This window comes from Homo sapiens, chromosome 2, assembly GCF_000001405.40.
Source record: "Homo sapiens chromosome 2, GRCh38.p14 Primary Assembly".
Classification (NCBI taxonomy): domain Eukaryota; kingdom Metazoa; phylum Chordata; class Mammalia; order Primates; family Hominidae; genus Homo; species Homo sapiens.
The window spans coordinates 38,066,830-38,082,449 of record NC_000002.12 but is presented as its reverse complement, the minus strand read 5'-3'; the positions used below and the strand labels follow the sequence as shown (position 1 = coordinate 38,082,449).

The 15,620-nt window shown below is 45.9% G+C and overlaps 2 protein-coding genes across 6 annotated transcripts in view, besides 16 other annotated features; one reads left to right on the top strand and one right to left on the bottom strand.

The window, feature by feature from the left end:
* Positions 4,610–4,639: a protein binding site, noted in NCBI's record as "XRE8". NCBI's record gives the evidence for it as "EXISTENCE:protein binding evidence [ECO:0000024][PMID:12801909]".
* Positions 4,610–6,318: a biological region, named in NCBI's record as "CYP1B1 promoter". NCBI's record gives its function as "regulatory_interactions: CYP1B1".
* Positions 4,794–4,823: a protein binding site, noted in NCBI's record as "XRE7". NCBI's record gives the evidence for it as "EXISTENCE:protein binding evidence [ECO:0000024][PMID:12801909]".
* Positions 4,943–6,318: a promoter, noted in NCBI's record as "-1356/+251 promoter fragment". NCBI's record gives the evidence for it as "EXISTENCE:reporter gene assay evidence [ECO:0000049][PMID:8910454]".
* Positions 5,184–5,303: a silencer, noted in NCBI's record as "silent region_11369". NCBI's record gives its function as "represses an Ori minimal core promoter by ATAC-STARR-seq in GM12878 lymphoblastoid cells {active_cell/tissue: GM12878}" and the evidence as "EXISTENCE:reporter gene assay evidence [ECO:0000049][PMID:35858748]".
* Positions 5,260–5,289: a protein binding site, noted in NCBI's record as "XRE6". NCBI's record gives the evidence for it as "EXISTENCE:protein binding evidence [ECO:0000024][PMID:12801909]".
* Positions 5,278–5,476: an enhancer, noted in NCBI's record as "-1022/-835 fragment". NCBI's record gives its function as "TCDD-responsive enhancer" and the evidence as "EXISTENCE:reporter gene assay evidence [ECO:0000049][PMID:8910454]".
* Positions 5,347–5,376: a transcriptional cis regulatory region, noted in NCBI's record as "XRE4; contains DRE1 and E-Box". NCBI's record gives its function as "contributes to promoter activity" and the evidence as "EXISTENCE:site-directed mutagenesis evidence [ECO:0005528][PMID:10702233]".
* Positions 5,426–5,461: a protein binding site, noted in NCBI's record as "XRE3; also known as DRE2". NCBI's record gives its function as "positive regulation of promoter activity" and the evidence as "EXISTENCE:protein binding evidence [ECO:0000024][PMID:12801909]".
* Positions 5,456–5,481: a protein binding site, noted in NCBI's record as "XRE2; also known as DRE3". NCBI's record gives its function as "positive regulation of promoter activity" and the evidence as "EXISTENCE:protein binding evidence [ECO:0000024][PMID:12801909]".
* Positions 6,214–6,303: a silencer, noted in NCBI's record as "silent region_11368". NCBI's record gives its function as "represses an Ori minimal core promoter by ATAC-STARR-seq in GM12878 lymphoblastoid cells {active_cell/tissue: GM12878}" and the evidence as "EXISTENCE:reporter gene assay evidence [ECO:0000049][PMID:35858748]".
* Positions 6,231–6,260: a protein binding site, noted in NCBI's record as "ERE". NCBI's record gives its function as "mediates promoter activation by E2" and the evidence as "EXISTENCE:protein binding evidence [ECO:0000024][PMID:15126349]".
* Positions 6,267–6,272: a TATA box. NCBI's record gives the evidence for it as "COORDINATES:motif similarity evidence [ECO:0000028][PMID:9334254]".
* Positions 6,297–6,304: a transcriptional cis regulatory region, noted in NCBI's record as "Inr (initiator sequence)". NCBI's record gives its function as "contributes to promoter activity" and the evidence as "EXISTENCE:site-directed mutagenesis evidence [ECO:0005528][PMID:9334254]".
* Positions 6,299–14,941, top strand: CYP1B1 (cytochrome P450 family 1 subfamily B member 1). Its single transcript, NM_000104.4, has 3 exons — positions 6,299–6,670; positions 7,061–8,104; positions 11,140–14,941. Exons 2-3 carry the CDS (start codon positions 7,062–7,064, stop codon positions 11,726–11,728), a joined length of 1,632 nt encoding a protein of 543 aa, NP_000095.2. The 5' UTR covers positions 6,299–6,670; position 7,061; the 3' UTR covers positions 11,729–14,941.
* Positions 11,382–11,526: an enhancer, noted in NCBI's record as "145 bp 2:38298139 sequence used in MPRA reporter constructs". NCBI's record gives its function as "activates a minimal TATA-containing promoter with rs1800440 allelic activity by MPRAs in C283T melanocytes {active_cell/tissue: C283T}" and the evidence as "EXISTENCE:reporter gene assay evidence [ECO:0000049][PMID:36423637]".
* Position 11,454: a transcriptional cis regulatory region, noted in NCBI's record as "rs1800440 or 2:38298139 MPRA-significant variant associated with a GWAS melanoma risk locus at 2p22.2". NCBI's record gives its function as "allelic transcriptional activity by MPRAs in C283T melanocytes {active_cell/tissue: C283T}" and the evidence as "EXISTENCE:reporter gene assay evidence [ECO:0000049][PMID:36423637]".
* RMDN2 (regulator of microtubule dynamics 2) overlaps positions 15,312–15,620 on the bottom strand; it is a 146,238-nt gene continuing 145,929 nt past the window's right edge. For all 5 annotated transcript variants that reach the window (XM_047443519.1, NM_001322212.2, XM_011532615.4 and 2 more), the window contains one exon: positions 15,312–15,468. In XM_047443519.1, the coding sequence (XP_047299475.1) occupies positions 15,460–15,468 (9 nt within the window). In that variant the 3' untranslated portion in view covers positions 15,312–15,459. The remainder of the gene's footprint in view (positions 15,469–15,620) is intronic.

Sequence of the window (15,620 nt, the reverse complement as noted above, 5' to 3'; positions counted from 1 at the left end):
ACTAGCCCGCCTCTTAGAACCTCTCATTTCCTTTCTATCATGGAAATCTATCCTCAAGGAAATAACTTCTCAGTGTTCCATCTGCTATTCTACTACTCCTCAGGGATTATTCAGGCCCCTTCCTTCCCTACACATCAAGCTTGAGGATTTGCCCCCACCCAGGACTGGCAAATTAGCTTTACTCAACATGTCCCAAGTCAGGAAACTAAAATACCTCTTAGTCTAAATAGACACTTTCACTGGATAGGTAGAGGCCTTTCCTATAGGGTCTGAGAAGGCCACCGCAGTCATTTCTTCCCTTCTGTCAGACATAATTCCTCAGTTTAGCCTTCCCACCTCTATACAGTCTGATAACAGACCAGCCTTTATTAGTCAAATCAGCCAAGCAGTTTTTCAGGCTCTTAGTATTCAGTGAAATCTTTATATCCCTTATGGTCCTCCGTCTTCAGGAAAAGTAGAACGGACTAAAGGTCTTTTAAAAACACACCTCACCAAGCTCAGCTACCAACTTAAAAAGGACTGGACAATACTTTTACGACTTTCCTTTCTCAGAAGTCAGACCTGTCCTCAGAATGCTACAAGGTACAGCCCATTTGAGCTCCTGTATAGACGCTCCTTTTTATTAGGCCCCAGTCTCATTCCAGACACCAGACCAACTTAGACTGTGCCCCAAAAAAACTTATCATCCCTATTATCTTCTGTCTAGTCATACTCCTATTCACCGTTCTCAACTACTCATACACGCCCTGCTCTTATTTACACTGCCGGTTTACGCTGTTTCTCCAAGCCATCACAGCTGATATCTCCTGGTGCTATCCCCAAACTGCCACTCTTAACTCTTGAAGTAAATAAATAATCTTTGCTGGCAGGACTGTGCTGAATCTCCTTAGGCACTCTCTAATCAGATGTCCTGAGTTGTCCCAATTCTTAGACCTTTTATACCTGTTTTTCTCCTTCTCTTATTCCATTTAGTTTTTCAATTCATACAAAACTGTATCCAGGCCATCACCAATAATTCTAAATGACAAATGTTCCTTCTAACAACCCCACAATATCACCCCTTACCACAAAATCTTCCTTCAGCTTAATCTCTCCCACTCTAGGTTCCCACACCGCCCCTAATCCCGCTGAAGCAGCCCTGAGAAACATCGCCCATTATCTCTCCATACCACCCCCAAAAATTTTCGCTGTCCCAAAACTTTACCACTATTTAGTTTTATTTTTCTTATTAATATAAGAAGACAGGAATGTCAGCCCTCTGAGCCCAAGCAAAGCCATCATATCCCCTGTGACCTGCACGTACACATCCAGATCGCCGGTTCCTGCCTTAACTGATGACATTCCACCACAAAAGAAGTGAAAATGGCCTGTTCCTGCCTTAACTGATGACATTTTCTTGTGAAATTCCTTCTCCTGGCTCATCCTGGCTCAAAAGCTCCCCCATTGAGTACCTTGTGACCCCCACTCCTGCCCGCCAGAGAACAACCCCCCTTTTTCCTTTACCTTCCCAAATCCTATAAAACCGCCCCACCCCTGTCTCCCTTGGCTGACTTTCTTTTCAGACTCAGCCCACCTGCACCCAGGTGATTAAAAGCTTTATTGCTCACACAAAGCCTGTTTGGTGGTCTCTTCACACGGACGCGCATGAAATGTATAATGCTTTGTCAGCTCCAAATCATACCCTCAACTTTCCATTTTACATCTCCGAAATCTGGATGTATCTTAGAGTCGATGATGCAATTATAATTGGTAGCTTCCTTTCTTTATGTTAGTACATAAAAATAAGGGTGCATCCTACAAATGATGGCTTCTGAGATTAGATAAAATACCTTTCTATTAGCTCTGTGGTTCTCTGCCTGTGTATTGCCAGGAGGAAGGAAGTGGAGCATTTCAGGTGAGGCACAGGGTTTTGGTATCAATTCCTAAGATTCCTTTCATGGTCCAGCCCCTGGTGTGCATTATCCTACAGTTCCTCCCTCTATCGCACCCTCAGCCACTTGGTGTGTCTCCTTATTTCTGCTCCTCTTGCCTACCAGCATGTGCCTGATGACTGAATCCTGCCCACCCAAATGTCAAGAGCCTACCAGAGATGGCTTATTCTCCTCCACTCTCCTCAGTGCATGTGGGTATGTGTGTTTGGAGATGACTGGAAAAGCACAGTGGCTACCCATTAAACTGACTTAGGGGTCACACTAGAGAGGAAGACCATGAAGAAAACTGAGTTCCAGCCTGACAGCAGAAGGGCAGAGCTTTCTGGGCTACTGGCTCTAAGGGCAATGCATATATCTGCTGATTTAAAATAATAATAACAATAATGGCTTTGGGTTTCCTTAGGTTATCCTCCAACCCAAAGAAACCAGTGGGCAGACATGTATACATGGAGTGGACTGGGTCAGCTCTTTGGCTTCCTAGCATGTTCTGCCATCTCTTTTTTTCTGATGACAGAACAAGCCCTTGCCCACAGGGTAAAAACCTGATGCCAGCCTGGCCCCCTGGAGTCCTTCTAGGACCCTGGAAGAGAGCTGTTCTCTTTCTCTTTGTTTTGTTAATTTTAAGCTGCTTCCTTGCCATGCAAAGAGAGAAAGCCCAAGCAAAGACCAGCATAGGCAGAGAGCCGGTAGAGCGGCCTGGGTCCTTGTATCCTGTGAAGCATCACGGTTATCCTTCTCTGCACATGGGCCAGTGCATTCCTGTTCTGCTTAAACAAGCTTAAGTTGTTCCTTCGAGTCAATACAAGATAAGATATTTTAAACCTCTCTCTACTTTAAACTATCCCTCTAGCTTAGCTGTTCTTTTTGAAAGTTATTTGCAACAAACAATTCAAGTTTGAGATTTGGGAGGGCAGAATGCCCATATTCTGTGTTGATTGAAAGGAGATTCCTGGGCCTTAGGTCCCTGCTTTGGTTGAGAAGTTGTGATGATAATTAAAGAGCCTGCGTAGATTCTCACTAGAGGCAGGGCTCTGCCTTGAGTTGGGTCGGGGTGCCAACAGGCTGCTCTGGATTTATCCGAAGTCCTTATCAGGGTACCGGATGGGGCATTCAATGAAGTTTGCACCATAAAGCCCTAAGAACTCCAGGCTTGAAGATTCTCTGCAAAAAGTGTTACCATAGCCAGTCATTTTGGTTTGCCATAACCGATAAGGGCTTATCTTTCTGACAGCACTTACCAACCTAGTTCCTCTGATTTTTGAGTCATGTCCTAGAAAAAGAGCTGAGCCCAAGGAACTACAGCTTGGAGGATATATCTGATCTATCTGCGATGGCAGGAAAGCATGCATCTAGTTGATCTAAAAACTAGATGGCATTATTGAGGAGTTGGACAGGCGGTCTTAGGAACAACCTCGTTTTATACTTTTTAAAAATAGGAATTTACTTAAAGGCAACTTCCATCTGCTCTCATTCTGGCAGAGGTATTGTGATAAAGGCTTTCAGGAATGTCAACAGCTCAGGATTGGCATTAGCTCATAGATAATTCCCGTCTACTAAATTAAAGTCTATGAGAGATTGATGCATGCACCAGAGTCTTGAATTATTAGGCAAGGATCTTGCTAAAGCTGGACATGGGAAGGTTGCTATGAAACTCATTTCAAAGGCTGTGTAGGCCAACTCACCTCTGGGAAACCAACGCTTATTATTAAACCAATGCAACTGCTCAAAAACTAAAACTCCATCACTATCTAAGTTCCCCATCATGGTGTGTGAAATCATTTCCAGAAAACTCTTCAAAAGATACCGAATAAAAGGCATCACAGGCCGGGCACGGTGGCTCATGCCTGTAATCCCAGCACTTTGGGAGGCCCAGGCTGGTGGATCACCTGAGGTCAGGAGTTTGAGACCAGCCTGGCCAGCATGGTGAAACCCCATCTCTACTAGAAAAATACAAAAATTAGCCGGGTGTGGTGGTGCGCACCTGTAATCCCAGCTACTTGGGAGGCTGAGCCAGGAGAACCTGGCAGGCGGAGGTTGCAGTGAGCCGAGATCACGCCATTGCACTGCAGCCCAGGTGACAGAGTGAGACTCCATCTCAAAAAAAATAAATAAATAAAAATAAAAATAAAAAAAGCCATCACGAAAAGACATTTCTTTATCAGGTCAGCAAATTGATTGCTGGTTTCAATCTCTCAAGAAGTCAGATTCTTTTCAGACACTCCTTTGTGTTTCTTTACAATGTAATCAGTCATTCCAGGGTCAGCTATGAGGCACACTCCCCTGGCCTCCCTCATAAGCAATTTAATTGCAAAGGGTTAGCATACTATTTCTTCTCTGCTATTCTCAGAATTCTCAATTATGAAAACAAAAACAATAATTAAAAAGTTCTTCCAGCTGATTTTTTTTTTTTTTTTTTTTTTGAGACAGAGTCTCACTTAAACTCTGCTGCCCAGGCTGTAGTGCAGTGGTGCAATCTCTGCTCACTGCAACCTCTGCCTCCCACGTTCAACCAATTCTGCTGCCTTCCCCCCTGATCCCCGAGTAGCTGGGATTACAGGTGTGCACCACCACGTCCGGCTAACTTTTGTATTTTTAGTAGATGGGGTTTCGCCATGTTGGCCAGGCTGGTCTCGAACTCCTGACCTCAAGTGATCCGCCCGCTTAAGCCTCCCAAAGTGCTGGGATTACAGGCGTGAGCCACTGCGCCTAGCCCCACGTGCATTTTTTTTTTTAAGGGAGGCAGGAAAGAAGGCATTTGGGCCTCTTATCTGCAATTTTCTTCCGTGTAAACTTATGTGAAGGATCTGGAGTGGGACTTGGTGGCTTCAAGCCCTGGCTCCACTTCTTGATGGCTGCGCGACCTGGGTTAAGTCACGCAACCTCTCTGAACCCTAGTTTATTCATCTGTAAACAGGTCAATAATAGCACGAGATTCGCAGCGCGAGTGGAGCTCAAAGTGCAGGGTTGTCCCTGGTGAACCTATCACTTTTATATTTATCCTTTGATGAAGCCAGTACAATTCCTACCTGGTTAACCAGATACATCCCACCTCTTCCCTCGAGTTCGCCCTTCCCCCCGCCTCGTGAAGTCCTTGTTCTCTTAGCTGTCTTGAAAATCCTATGCATCAGCATGTAGGAAAGGGCGCGCCAGGCGGGGGAAGCCACCCCCGCCCAAGCGCCTCCGGCTTCCCTTATAAAGGGAGGGCCCCCTTCGCGACCGCAAGCGCGCCCAGGAAGACCACAGAGCCGCCGGTGCGCAGCGAGGTGGCGATACGCGCCCGGGCTCGGCCTGCGGGTGGTGGCCCAAGCGTCCGCCTCGCTGGCCTGGCAGGCGCGACTGTGCGTGCGCAGCCGAGGGTGGTGGCGGCCGGCACCCCACGCCAAGGGTGGTGGTGGCCGGCACCCCACCCTCGGCCGCCGCCTCCGCGTGTCAGGTGCCGTGAGAAGCGCGGGAGGAGCGGCCGCAGGCAGCGCCCAGGGATATGACTGGAGCCGACTTTCCAGAAGCGGCGCACGCAAAGCCCAGCTCCGCACGCAAAGGGGAGGCGACAGCAGAAACTTCAACCCGATAAAGTTCGCCGGAGCGCGGAGATTCGCCTCCTCCTGCCACTCTCCGCCCCGCTCGGGTCCCGCCCCGCTAGCTCCCCCAGGCCCCCCCAGTCGCCCCAGCTTGGCTCCCCGCCCTGCGCCAACGGCTTCCATCGCAGCCTGGGCGGCCCCGCGCCCACCAGCGGGCGGCGCCACCTGGAGTGGCCTCTACGCGGGAAATCTCAGGGCCAGCTGCGCCCCAGGAGCCTTTGTGTGCCCAAGCACTGTCGGGGCCCCGGGGCGGGGGAGCGGCTACTTTTAGGGATTCCTGATCTCGCCGCAAGAACTGGAAAAAATTTAGCATGCCAAAGAGCCTCCACTGAGGTGGCAATTTGTTTGCGAGAACCTAAGATAAAATTTAAACAACCAACCAGGGGCGCTGTGAGGCAAACCGCTGCCACTACACTGGCTTTCCGGGAAGCAAGCTCAAGTCGCGGAGAGGGAAGGGAGGTCGTGCGCTCGGGGCGGGGCGCGCTCCCAAGTCGAGCGCAGCGGCCGGGGCAGGTTGTACCGAGCGTGGTTCTGGGGACACCGTGCGGCCTCGATTGGAGGTGGCTGTGATGAAGCGCGGTTACCGCACAATGGAAACGTGGGCACCTCCGCTCCCATGAAAGCCTGCTGGTAGAGCTCCGAGGCCGGCCGGTGCGCCTGGACGGGAGTCCGGGTCAAAGCGGCCTGGTGTGCGGCGCGCCCCGCCCCCCGCAGGCCCCGCCCTGCCAGGTCGCGCTGCCCTCCTTCTACCCAGTCCTTAAAACCCGGAGGAGCGGGATGGCGCGCTTTGACTCTGGAGTGGGAGTGGGAGCGAGCGCTTCTGCGACTCCAGTTGTGAGAGCCGCAAGGGCATGGGAATTGACGCCACTCACCGACCCCCAGTCTCAATCTCAACGCTGTGAGGAAACCTCGACTTTGCCAGGTCCCCAAGGGCAGCGGGGCTCGGCGAGCGAGGCACCCTTCTCCGTCCCCATCCCAATCCAAGCGCTCCTGGCACTGACGACGCCAAGAGACTCGAGTGGGAGTTAAAGCTTCCAGTGAGGGCAGCAGGTGTCCAGGCCGGGCCTGCGGGTTCCTGTTGACGTCTTGCCCTAGGCAAAGGTCCCAGTTCCTTCTCGGAGCCGGCTGTCCCGCGCCACTGGAAACCGCACCTCCCCGCAGGTCAGTCTGTCTGCCGAGGCGCTGCCCGGCGACCTCTTCAGATGGATTATTACAGGTAGCGGGTGGCGTGGTAGGTACTTTAAAGGAAATCAAGCGCCACCGCCTCGATGCCCGCAGCGTTGTCCCCAGATTGCAGGAACCGTTACGCGCCTTGCGGGGAGGGGAAGGGTTTGGCGCTGGGTTACAGCGAGGTGGAAACACGCCCCTTCTCTTCTCCAAGGGAGAGTGGGTTGGGGATGGGAAGGGGCGTCTTCGGCCATTTCTCCAGAGAGTCAGCTCCGACCTCTCCACCCAACGGCACTCAGTCCCCAGAGGCTGGGGTAGGGGCGTGGGGCGCCCGCTCCTGTCTCTGCACCCCTGAGTGTCACGCCTTCTCCTCTCTGTCCCCAGCATGGGCACCAGCCTCAGCCCGAACGACCCTTGGCCGCTAAACCCGCTGTCCATCCAGCAGACCACGCTCCTGCTACTCCTGTCGGTGCTGGCCACTGTGCATGTGGGCCAGCGGCTGCTGAGGCAACGGAGGCGGCAGCTCCGGTCCGCGCCCCCGGGCCCGTTTGCGTGGCCACTGATCGGAAACGCGGCGGCGGTGGGCCAGGCGGCTCACCTCTCGTTCGCTCGCCTGGCGCGGCGCTACGGCGACGTTTTCCAGATCCGCCTGGGCAGCTGCCCCATAGTGGTGCTGAATGGCGAGCGCGCCATCCACCAGGCCCTGGTGCAGCAGGGCTCGGCCTTCGCCGACCGGCCGGCCTTCGCCTCCTTCCGTGTGGTGTCCGGCGGCCGCAGCATGGCTTTCGGCCACTACTCGGAGCACTGGAAGGTGCAGCGGCGCGCAGCCCACAGCATGATGCGCAACTTCTTCACGCGCCAGCCGCGCAGCCGCCAAGTCCTCGAGGGCCACGTGCTGAGCGAGGCGCGCGAGCTGGTGGCGCTGCTGGTGCGCGGCAGCGCGGACGGCGCCTTCCTCGACCCGAGGCCGCTGACCGTCGTGGCCGTGGCCAACGTCATGAGTGCCGTGTGTTTCGGCTGCCGCTACAGCCACGACGACCCCGAGTTCCGTGAGCTGCTCAGCCACAACGAAGAGTTCGGGCGCACGGTGGGCGCGGGCAGCCTGGTGGACGTGATGCCCTGGCTGCAGTACTTCCCCAACCCGGTGCGCACCGTTTTCCGCGAATTCGAGCAGCTCAACCGCAACTTCAGCAACTTCATCCTGGACAAGTTCTTGAGGCACTGCGAAAGCCTTCGGCCCGGGGCCGCCCCCCGCGACATGATGGACGCCTTTATCCTCTCTGCGGAAAAGAAGGCGGCCGGGGACTCGCACGGTGGTGGCGCGCGGCTGGATTTGGAGAACGTACCGGCCACTATCACTGACATCTTCGGCGCCAGCCAGGACACCCTGTCCACCGCGCTGCAGTGGCTGCTCCTCCTCTTCACCAGGTAAAGCCTCTGGGAGGCGTGGGCCAGGTCTTTTCTCCTCTGAAAAAGGCGGAGTAGAGACAGAATATGCTGAGTTTGCAAGCAGGGCCCCGGGTTTGGGGTTTCGCTCCAGGTCCCCACCCCTCAAAACCAAGATCGCGTCGGTAAAGGGACTCACAGTGAGGGCTGCGACACGCGCACGCGCCCCACCCAGCGGTGCCCCGACCCCTCCGGTCTCCTATCTTGTCTCTATCGTCCCCTCCCCTGCTTGCGAGTGAGAACACATTTGCAAAGACCCCTCCACCCCCCGGAAAAACAAGAGTTTTTAAATGCTTGGAGATGAGCCCTGATATCTCTCTCCCTGGCGCATTACAATCAGAACTGGAATAGTTCCGAAAGAAAAGGTAATGTCATAAATATGTTAAACACAGCAGCCTCTCCTAGGCTAGTCCTCGGCGTGCATCCGAGGCCGCCCAGCCCTGGCGCTAAAAGCGGGCCGCCCGTCAGGGCTTTGTTCCAGGCCAAGGAAGCCCATGGAGGCCGGGCCAGCCGACAGGTAACCCGCACAGAAACTTTCAGAAGGCGGCCACAACTAGCGGGCAGCGCTAGGTTTATAAAACCTCCGCGCTAGGAGTTTGAGAAATGCCGGGGTAGAAGACAAGAAGCAGTCACTTTTACGAAAGCAGAGTAGCATTCAGAAAGGCAGATGGGATATCCAGGAGGCGCCTGCAGACGTTTCTGGCCCCTGCGCTTGGCTCAGTTAGCGGACCCCCTGATGCCCACGTTGGTCTCTACTAAGCACGGATTCAACAGGTCCCTGGTGTCGGGTTGCCAGATTTGGCAAAAGAAAAGTAAGTTTTACACGGGAATACTCACACTAAAAGATTAGCCCTTGTTGATCTGAAATCCATATTTAACTGGGCGGCCTGTAGTATTTACTGTGGAAACACTATCCCTAGGGGCAAATGTTTCGCAAGGCAAATTTTGATTGCCGAAGAGACCAGAAATCCTGGTTTTGTGTCATTTCTTGGAGCACAAGTGAGCAGTTGGAGATGCTGAATCTGCAGGCGCCACAGAAAGGTGTTTGGAAGGCAGAGAATGACTCTTTCCTTATTAAAATCCACTGCAATCTATATTTCCTTAGATACTGTACAGCTACCTTCACAAATTAAAAGTTTCTGTATACTTAAAATGGCTTTTTAGTATTAAAATCATAGAAACACCCATGGTGGGTGAGGGAGAGGCAGAAATCGAATAAAGAAAAGTCAACCAGAGATCAGGGAAAAGGAAATCCCGGAATAGGTTCCATAGGTTTTTGTGCATCCGCAGATAGGCATTTTAACTTTTGAAACGGCCTTTGTTTTTCATTAGAACCACAATAGTTCTCCGAGTACTCCAATTAGGCGGCAAAAAGAAATAAAACAATTTGGAGGTCACTTTCAATTCAATATGCTGATACTTTTTTTTTCCTTTTTAGTGAAAAGACGTATGACAGGGCTTGGCAAATTACACGATCTGTTTTTGTATATACGTTTTATTGACGCAGTCATGCCCATTCATTTATACATTGTCGATGGCTGCGTTCACTCTACAACACAAGGCAGAGCAGAGTAGTGCAACAAAGAGGGTTTGGTCCACAAAGTCTAAAATAGATACTCTCTGGCTCTCCCCACCATACATGTTTCTATGAAAAAAGTTGGCAGACTCCTGCAATATAATGTTGAAGAAGCGATTCTAAAAATAACTCCACTTCATCACATACGTGTATACATTTTTTTTCGGAGTTGCAAACAATCAGTTACTTGTTTTTTGACTTCTAACACTTTGACTCAAGGTAGTGGACATTTCTAATCTTTTAATATTTATTTTGGTAATTTTTGATGGCTATATAGTATTTTGCTATGATAATGTATAGTTATATATAATCATTTATTGAACTTTAATGTTGGTCATTGGCCTTGATTGCATTTTTAAAATTTTTATTTTAATTTTATGTATTTACTTACCTTAGAGACAGGGTCTCACTACCTTACCCAGGCTGGTCCCAAACTCCTGGGCTCAAGCAGTTCTCCCGCCGCTGTCTGGCAGGTAGCTGGGGCTACAGGCGTGTACCACCATGCCTGGCTAATTTTTAGAATTTTAGGTCCTGTTGTGGTTACATATTTTTGTATCTCTTAAATTATTTTCTGAAAATACATTTCTAGGCATGGATTACTGGGTTTAAAATGAGGCGGGAAGAGGTTACCTTCATGTCTCTTGCCTCGTATTAAGATTTTGTTTTTTAAAAAGATTGTATCAGTTTGTATCATCAACAGTGAATAAGTACTACAGTTTGTACCATAATTTTATGAACATTGGGTATTTGCTTTCAAATTTAAAAAATACAGTATGTAGCTTTATCCATCAGGACACCAATTATCTTTGTATAAAATGAGAACAGCATGTCTGTTGGAATTGTCCAGGGAAATGAGGGAGAAAAAAAATTTACTTTCACATTGTAACTTTCGTGGGCCCTGGGTGCTTTTGCCTTTGTAGATTCCTTATACTATAAAAAAATTAAAAATTAAATTTCATGACTACCCTGATATAAAGATGAATGCATTAAAATGATGTATGAAAATATTTTCTTCTAACTAAAAGTGAGTTTTTTTAGGTCTGAAGATTGTAAAAGACGTAAAAATATTTTCATGGGCCCCTAAAAAGTGTTGTGAGCCCTAGGCACTGTCCCTGCGGTACCCAATGGAAAAGTCAGCCTTATCTACTATTGTGCTTTTTGAGGCTGGGAAAACTTAAGAGTTTTTTGACTTATAATGGGAAAGACAGCATTAGTCATGCAAGGCCTATTACAGGAAATATAATTCTTAAAGTCCATCTTGTAATTTAGTGAGAAATTAGGAAGCTGTTTTAGATTTTTTTCCCAGAAATATTAATTTAGTCACTGAGCTAGATAGCCTATTTAAGAAAAAGTGGAATTAAAATAAATTATAATGTGCTTTCTAGATGAAATAAGAATTTTGCTCACTTGCTTTTCTCTCTCCACATTAAACACCAAACAGGTATCCTGATGTGCAGACTCGAGTGCAGGCAGAATTGGATCAGGTCGTGGGGAGGGACCGTCTGCCTTGTATGGGTGACCAGCCCAACCTGCCCTATGTCCTGGCCTTCCTTTATGAAGCCATGCGCTTCTCCAGCTTTGTGCCTGTCACTATTCCTCATGCCACCACTGCCAACACCTCTGTCTTGGGCTACCACATTCCCAAGGACACTGTGGTTTTTGTCAACCAGTGGTCTGTGAATCATGACCCACTGAAGTGGCCTAACCCGGAGAACTTTGATCCAGCTCGATTCTTGGACAAGGATGGCCTCATCAACAAGGACCTGACCAGCAGAGTGATGATTTTTTCAGTGGGCAAAAGGCGGTGCATTGGCGAAGAACTTTCTAAGATGCAGCTTTTTCTCTTCATCTCCATCCTGGCTCACCAGTGCGATTTCAGGGCCAACCCAAATGAGCCTGCGAAAATGAATTTCAGTTATGGTCTAACCATTAAACCCAAGTCATTTAAAGTCAATGTCACTCTCAGAGAGTCCATGGAGCTCCTTGATAGTGCTGTCCAAAATTTACAAGCCAAGGAAACTTGCCAATAAGAAGCAAGAGGCAAGCTGAAATTTTAGAAATATTCACATCTTCGGAGATGAGGAGTAAAATTCAGTTTTTTTCCAGTTCCTCTTTTGTGCTGCTTCTCAATTAGCGTTTAAGGTGAGCATAAATCAACTGTCCATCAGGTGAGGTGTGCTCCATACCCAGCGGTTCTTCATGAGTAGTGGGCTATGCAGGAGCTTCTGGGAGATTTTTTTGAGTCAAAGACTTAAAGGGCCCAATGAATTATTATATACATACTGCATCTTGGTTATTTCTGAAGGTAGCATTCTTTGGAGTTAAAATGCACATATAGACACATACACCCAAACACTTACACCAAACTACTGAATGAAGCAGTATTTTGGTAACCAGGCCATTTTTGGTGGGAATCCAAGATTGGTCTCCCATATGCAGAAATAGACAAAAAGTATATTAAACAAAGTTTCAGAGTATATTGTTGAAGAGACAGAGACAAGTAATTTCAGTGTAAAGTGTGTGATTGAAGGTGATAAGGGAAAAGATAAAGACCAGAAATTCCCTTTTCACCTTTTCAGGAAAATAACTTAGACTCTAGTATTTATGGGTGGATTTATCCTTTTGCCTTCTGGTATACTTCCTTACTTTTAAGGATAAATCATAAAGTCAGTTGCTCAAAAAGAAATCAATAGTTGAATTAGTGAGTATAGTGGGGTTCCATGAGTTATCATGAATTTTAAAGTATGCATTATTAAATTGTAAAACTCCAAGGTGATGTTGTACCTCTTTTGCTTGCCAAAGTACAGAATTTGAATTATCAGCAAAGAAAAAAAAAAAAGCCAGCCAAGCTTTAAATTATGTGACCATAATGTACTGATTTCAGTAAGTCTCATAGGTTAAAAAAAAAAGTCACCAAATAGTGTGAAATATATTACTTAACTGTCCGTAAGCAGTATATTAGTATTATCTTGTTCAGGAAAAGGTTGAATAATATATGCCTTGTATAATATTGAAAATTGAAAAGTACAACTAACGCAACCAAGTGTGCTAAAAATGAGCTTGATTAAATCAACCACCTATTTTTGACATGGAAATGAAGCAGGGTTTCTTTTCTTCACTCAAATTTTGGCGAATCTCAAAATTAGATCCTAAGATGTGTTCTTATTTTTATAACATCTTTATTGAAATTCTATTTATAATACAGAATCTTGTTTTGAAAATAACCTAATTAATATATTAAAATTCCAAATTCATGGCATGCTTAAATTTTAACTAAATTTTAAAGCCATTCTGATTATTGAGTTCCAGTTGAAGTTAGTGGAAATCTGAACATTCTCCTGTGGAAGGCAGAGAAATCTAAGCTGTGTCTGCCCAATGAATAATGGAAAATGCCATGAATTACCTGGATGTTCTTTTTACGAGGTGACAAGAGTTGGGGACAGAACTCCCATTACAACTGACCAAGTTTCTCTTCTAGATGATTTTTTGAAAGTTAACATTAATGCCTGCTTTTTGGAAAGTCAGAATCAGAAGATAGTCTTGGAAGCTGTTTGGAAAAGACAGTGGAGATGAGGTCAGTTGTGTTTTTTAAGATGGCAATTACTTTGGTAGCTGGGAAAGCATAAAGCTCAAATGAAATGTATGCATTCACATTTAGAAAAGTGAATTGAAGTTTCAAGTTTTAAAGTTCATTGCAATTAAACTTCCAAAGAAAGTTCTACAGTGTCCTAAGTGCTAAGTGCTTATTACATTTTATTAAGCTTTTTGGAATCTTTGTACCAAAATTTTAAAAAAGGGAGTTTTTGATAGTTGTGTGTATGTGTGTGTGGGGTGGGGGGATGGTAAGAGAAAAGAGAGAAACACTGAAAAGAAGGAAAGATGGTTAAACATTTTCCCACTCATTCTGAATTAATTAATTTGGAGCACAAAATTCAAAGCATGGACATTTAGAAGAAAGATGTTTGGCGTAGCAGAGTTAAATCTCAAATAGGCTATTAAAAAAGTCTACAACATAGCAGATCTGTTTTGTGGTTTGGAATATTAAAAAACTTCATGTAATTTTATTTTAAAATTTCATAGCTGTACTTCTTGAATATAAAAAATCATGCCAGTATTTTTAAAGGCATTAGAGTCAACTACACAAAGCAGGCTTGCCCAGTACATTTAAATTTTTTGGCACTTGCCATTCCAAAATATTATGCCCCACCAAGGCTGAGACAGTGAATTTGGGCTGCTGTAGCCTATTTTTTTAGATTGAGAAATGTGTAGCTGCAAAAATAATCATGAACCAATCTGGATGCCTCATTATGTCAACCAGGTCCAGATGTGCTATAATCTGTTTTTACGTATGTAGGCCCAGTCGTCATCAGATGCTTGCGGCAAAAGGAAAGCTGTGTTTATATGGAAGAAAGTAAGGTGCTTGGAGTTTACCTGGCTTATTTAATATGCTTATAACCTAGTTAAAGAAAGGAAAAGAAAACAAAAAACGAATGAAAATAACTGAATTTGGAGGCTGGAGTAATCAGATTACTGCTTTAATCAGAAACCCTCATTGTGTTTCTACCGGAGAGAGAATGTATTTGCTGACAACCATTAAAGTCAGAAGTTTTACTCCAGGTTATTGCAATAAAGTATAATGTTTATTAAATGCTTCATTTGTATGTCAAAGCTTTGACTCTATAAGCAAATTGCTTTTTTCCAAAACAAAAAGATGTCTCAGGTTTGTTTTGTGAATTTTCTAAAAGCTTTCATGTCCCAGAACTTAGCCTTTACCTGTGAAGTGTTACTACAGCCTTAATATTTTCCTAGTAGATCTATATTAGATCAAATAGTTGCATAGCAGTATATGTTAATTTGTGTGTTTTTAGCTGTGACACAACTGTGTGATTAAAAGGTATACTTTAGTAGACATTTATAACTCAAGGATACCTTCTTATTTAATCTTTTCTTATTTTTGTACTTTATCATGAATGCTTTTAGTGTGTGCATAATAGCTACAGTGCATAGTTGTAGACAAAGTACATTCTGGGGAAACAACATTTATATGTAGCCTTTACTGTTTGATATACCAAATTAAAAAAAAATTGTATCTCATTACTTATACTGGGACACCATTACCAAAATAATAAAAATCACTTTCATAATCTTGTTATGAAGTTTTATGTTGTAGCAAATATAGTCTAATGTATCACTTTATTTCAACTATTACTATGGATTATTCAATTAAAATATTGCACTGTAAACATTTTATTTGTCCATTCTACATTTCAGGCCGAGGCCACATGCTTTTTTTTCCCGTAGGTTTTCATCAACCAAATTTCTAATCTCTATATTTTTGAATTTCTAAGAACCAACACGGAGGTTACATTTCAATCAAACAATCAAGCCAAATGAGAATTAATTTGCAATGTTGAAAGATTGAATAGATTGCGACTTTAAGTTGCTGATCGATTTCTGCTTCATCTAAAGAATGCAGTACACATTTTTCTTCCTCAGCCTCATACCAGTCCTTTCTCTGAGTATTTTCTTCTTTCATTTTTTTAAAGGTACATGTGCCTCAATTAGTGCAATTAATGTCCAATAAAATAAGATGGGTACAAGTATTCTGTCATGTACTATGTGGAAATGTTTTATTGCCAATCTTTTTACTTGGTAAAAATACTTGACTTCACAGGGCCTAGGTCATGACTCTCCAGGCCTTCACTGTGCCACACTCACAGATGACAGGGCTTGCGGTACCAAAGGCTCTTTATCTTCCAGACTACAGCTCCTATTAATGTGAAAACAGGAAAAGAAGTAAAAATTGCACAAAATGGCATTGAAACTTTGGCGTGGGAACCTCACTTTAGCAGCCAGAAGGTATGGCTATGGAGTGGTTTAAGAGAATACTCACTAGTTTTCCAGATGTATGACAGTAGGATC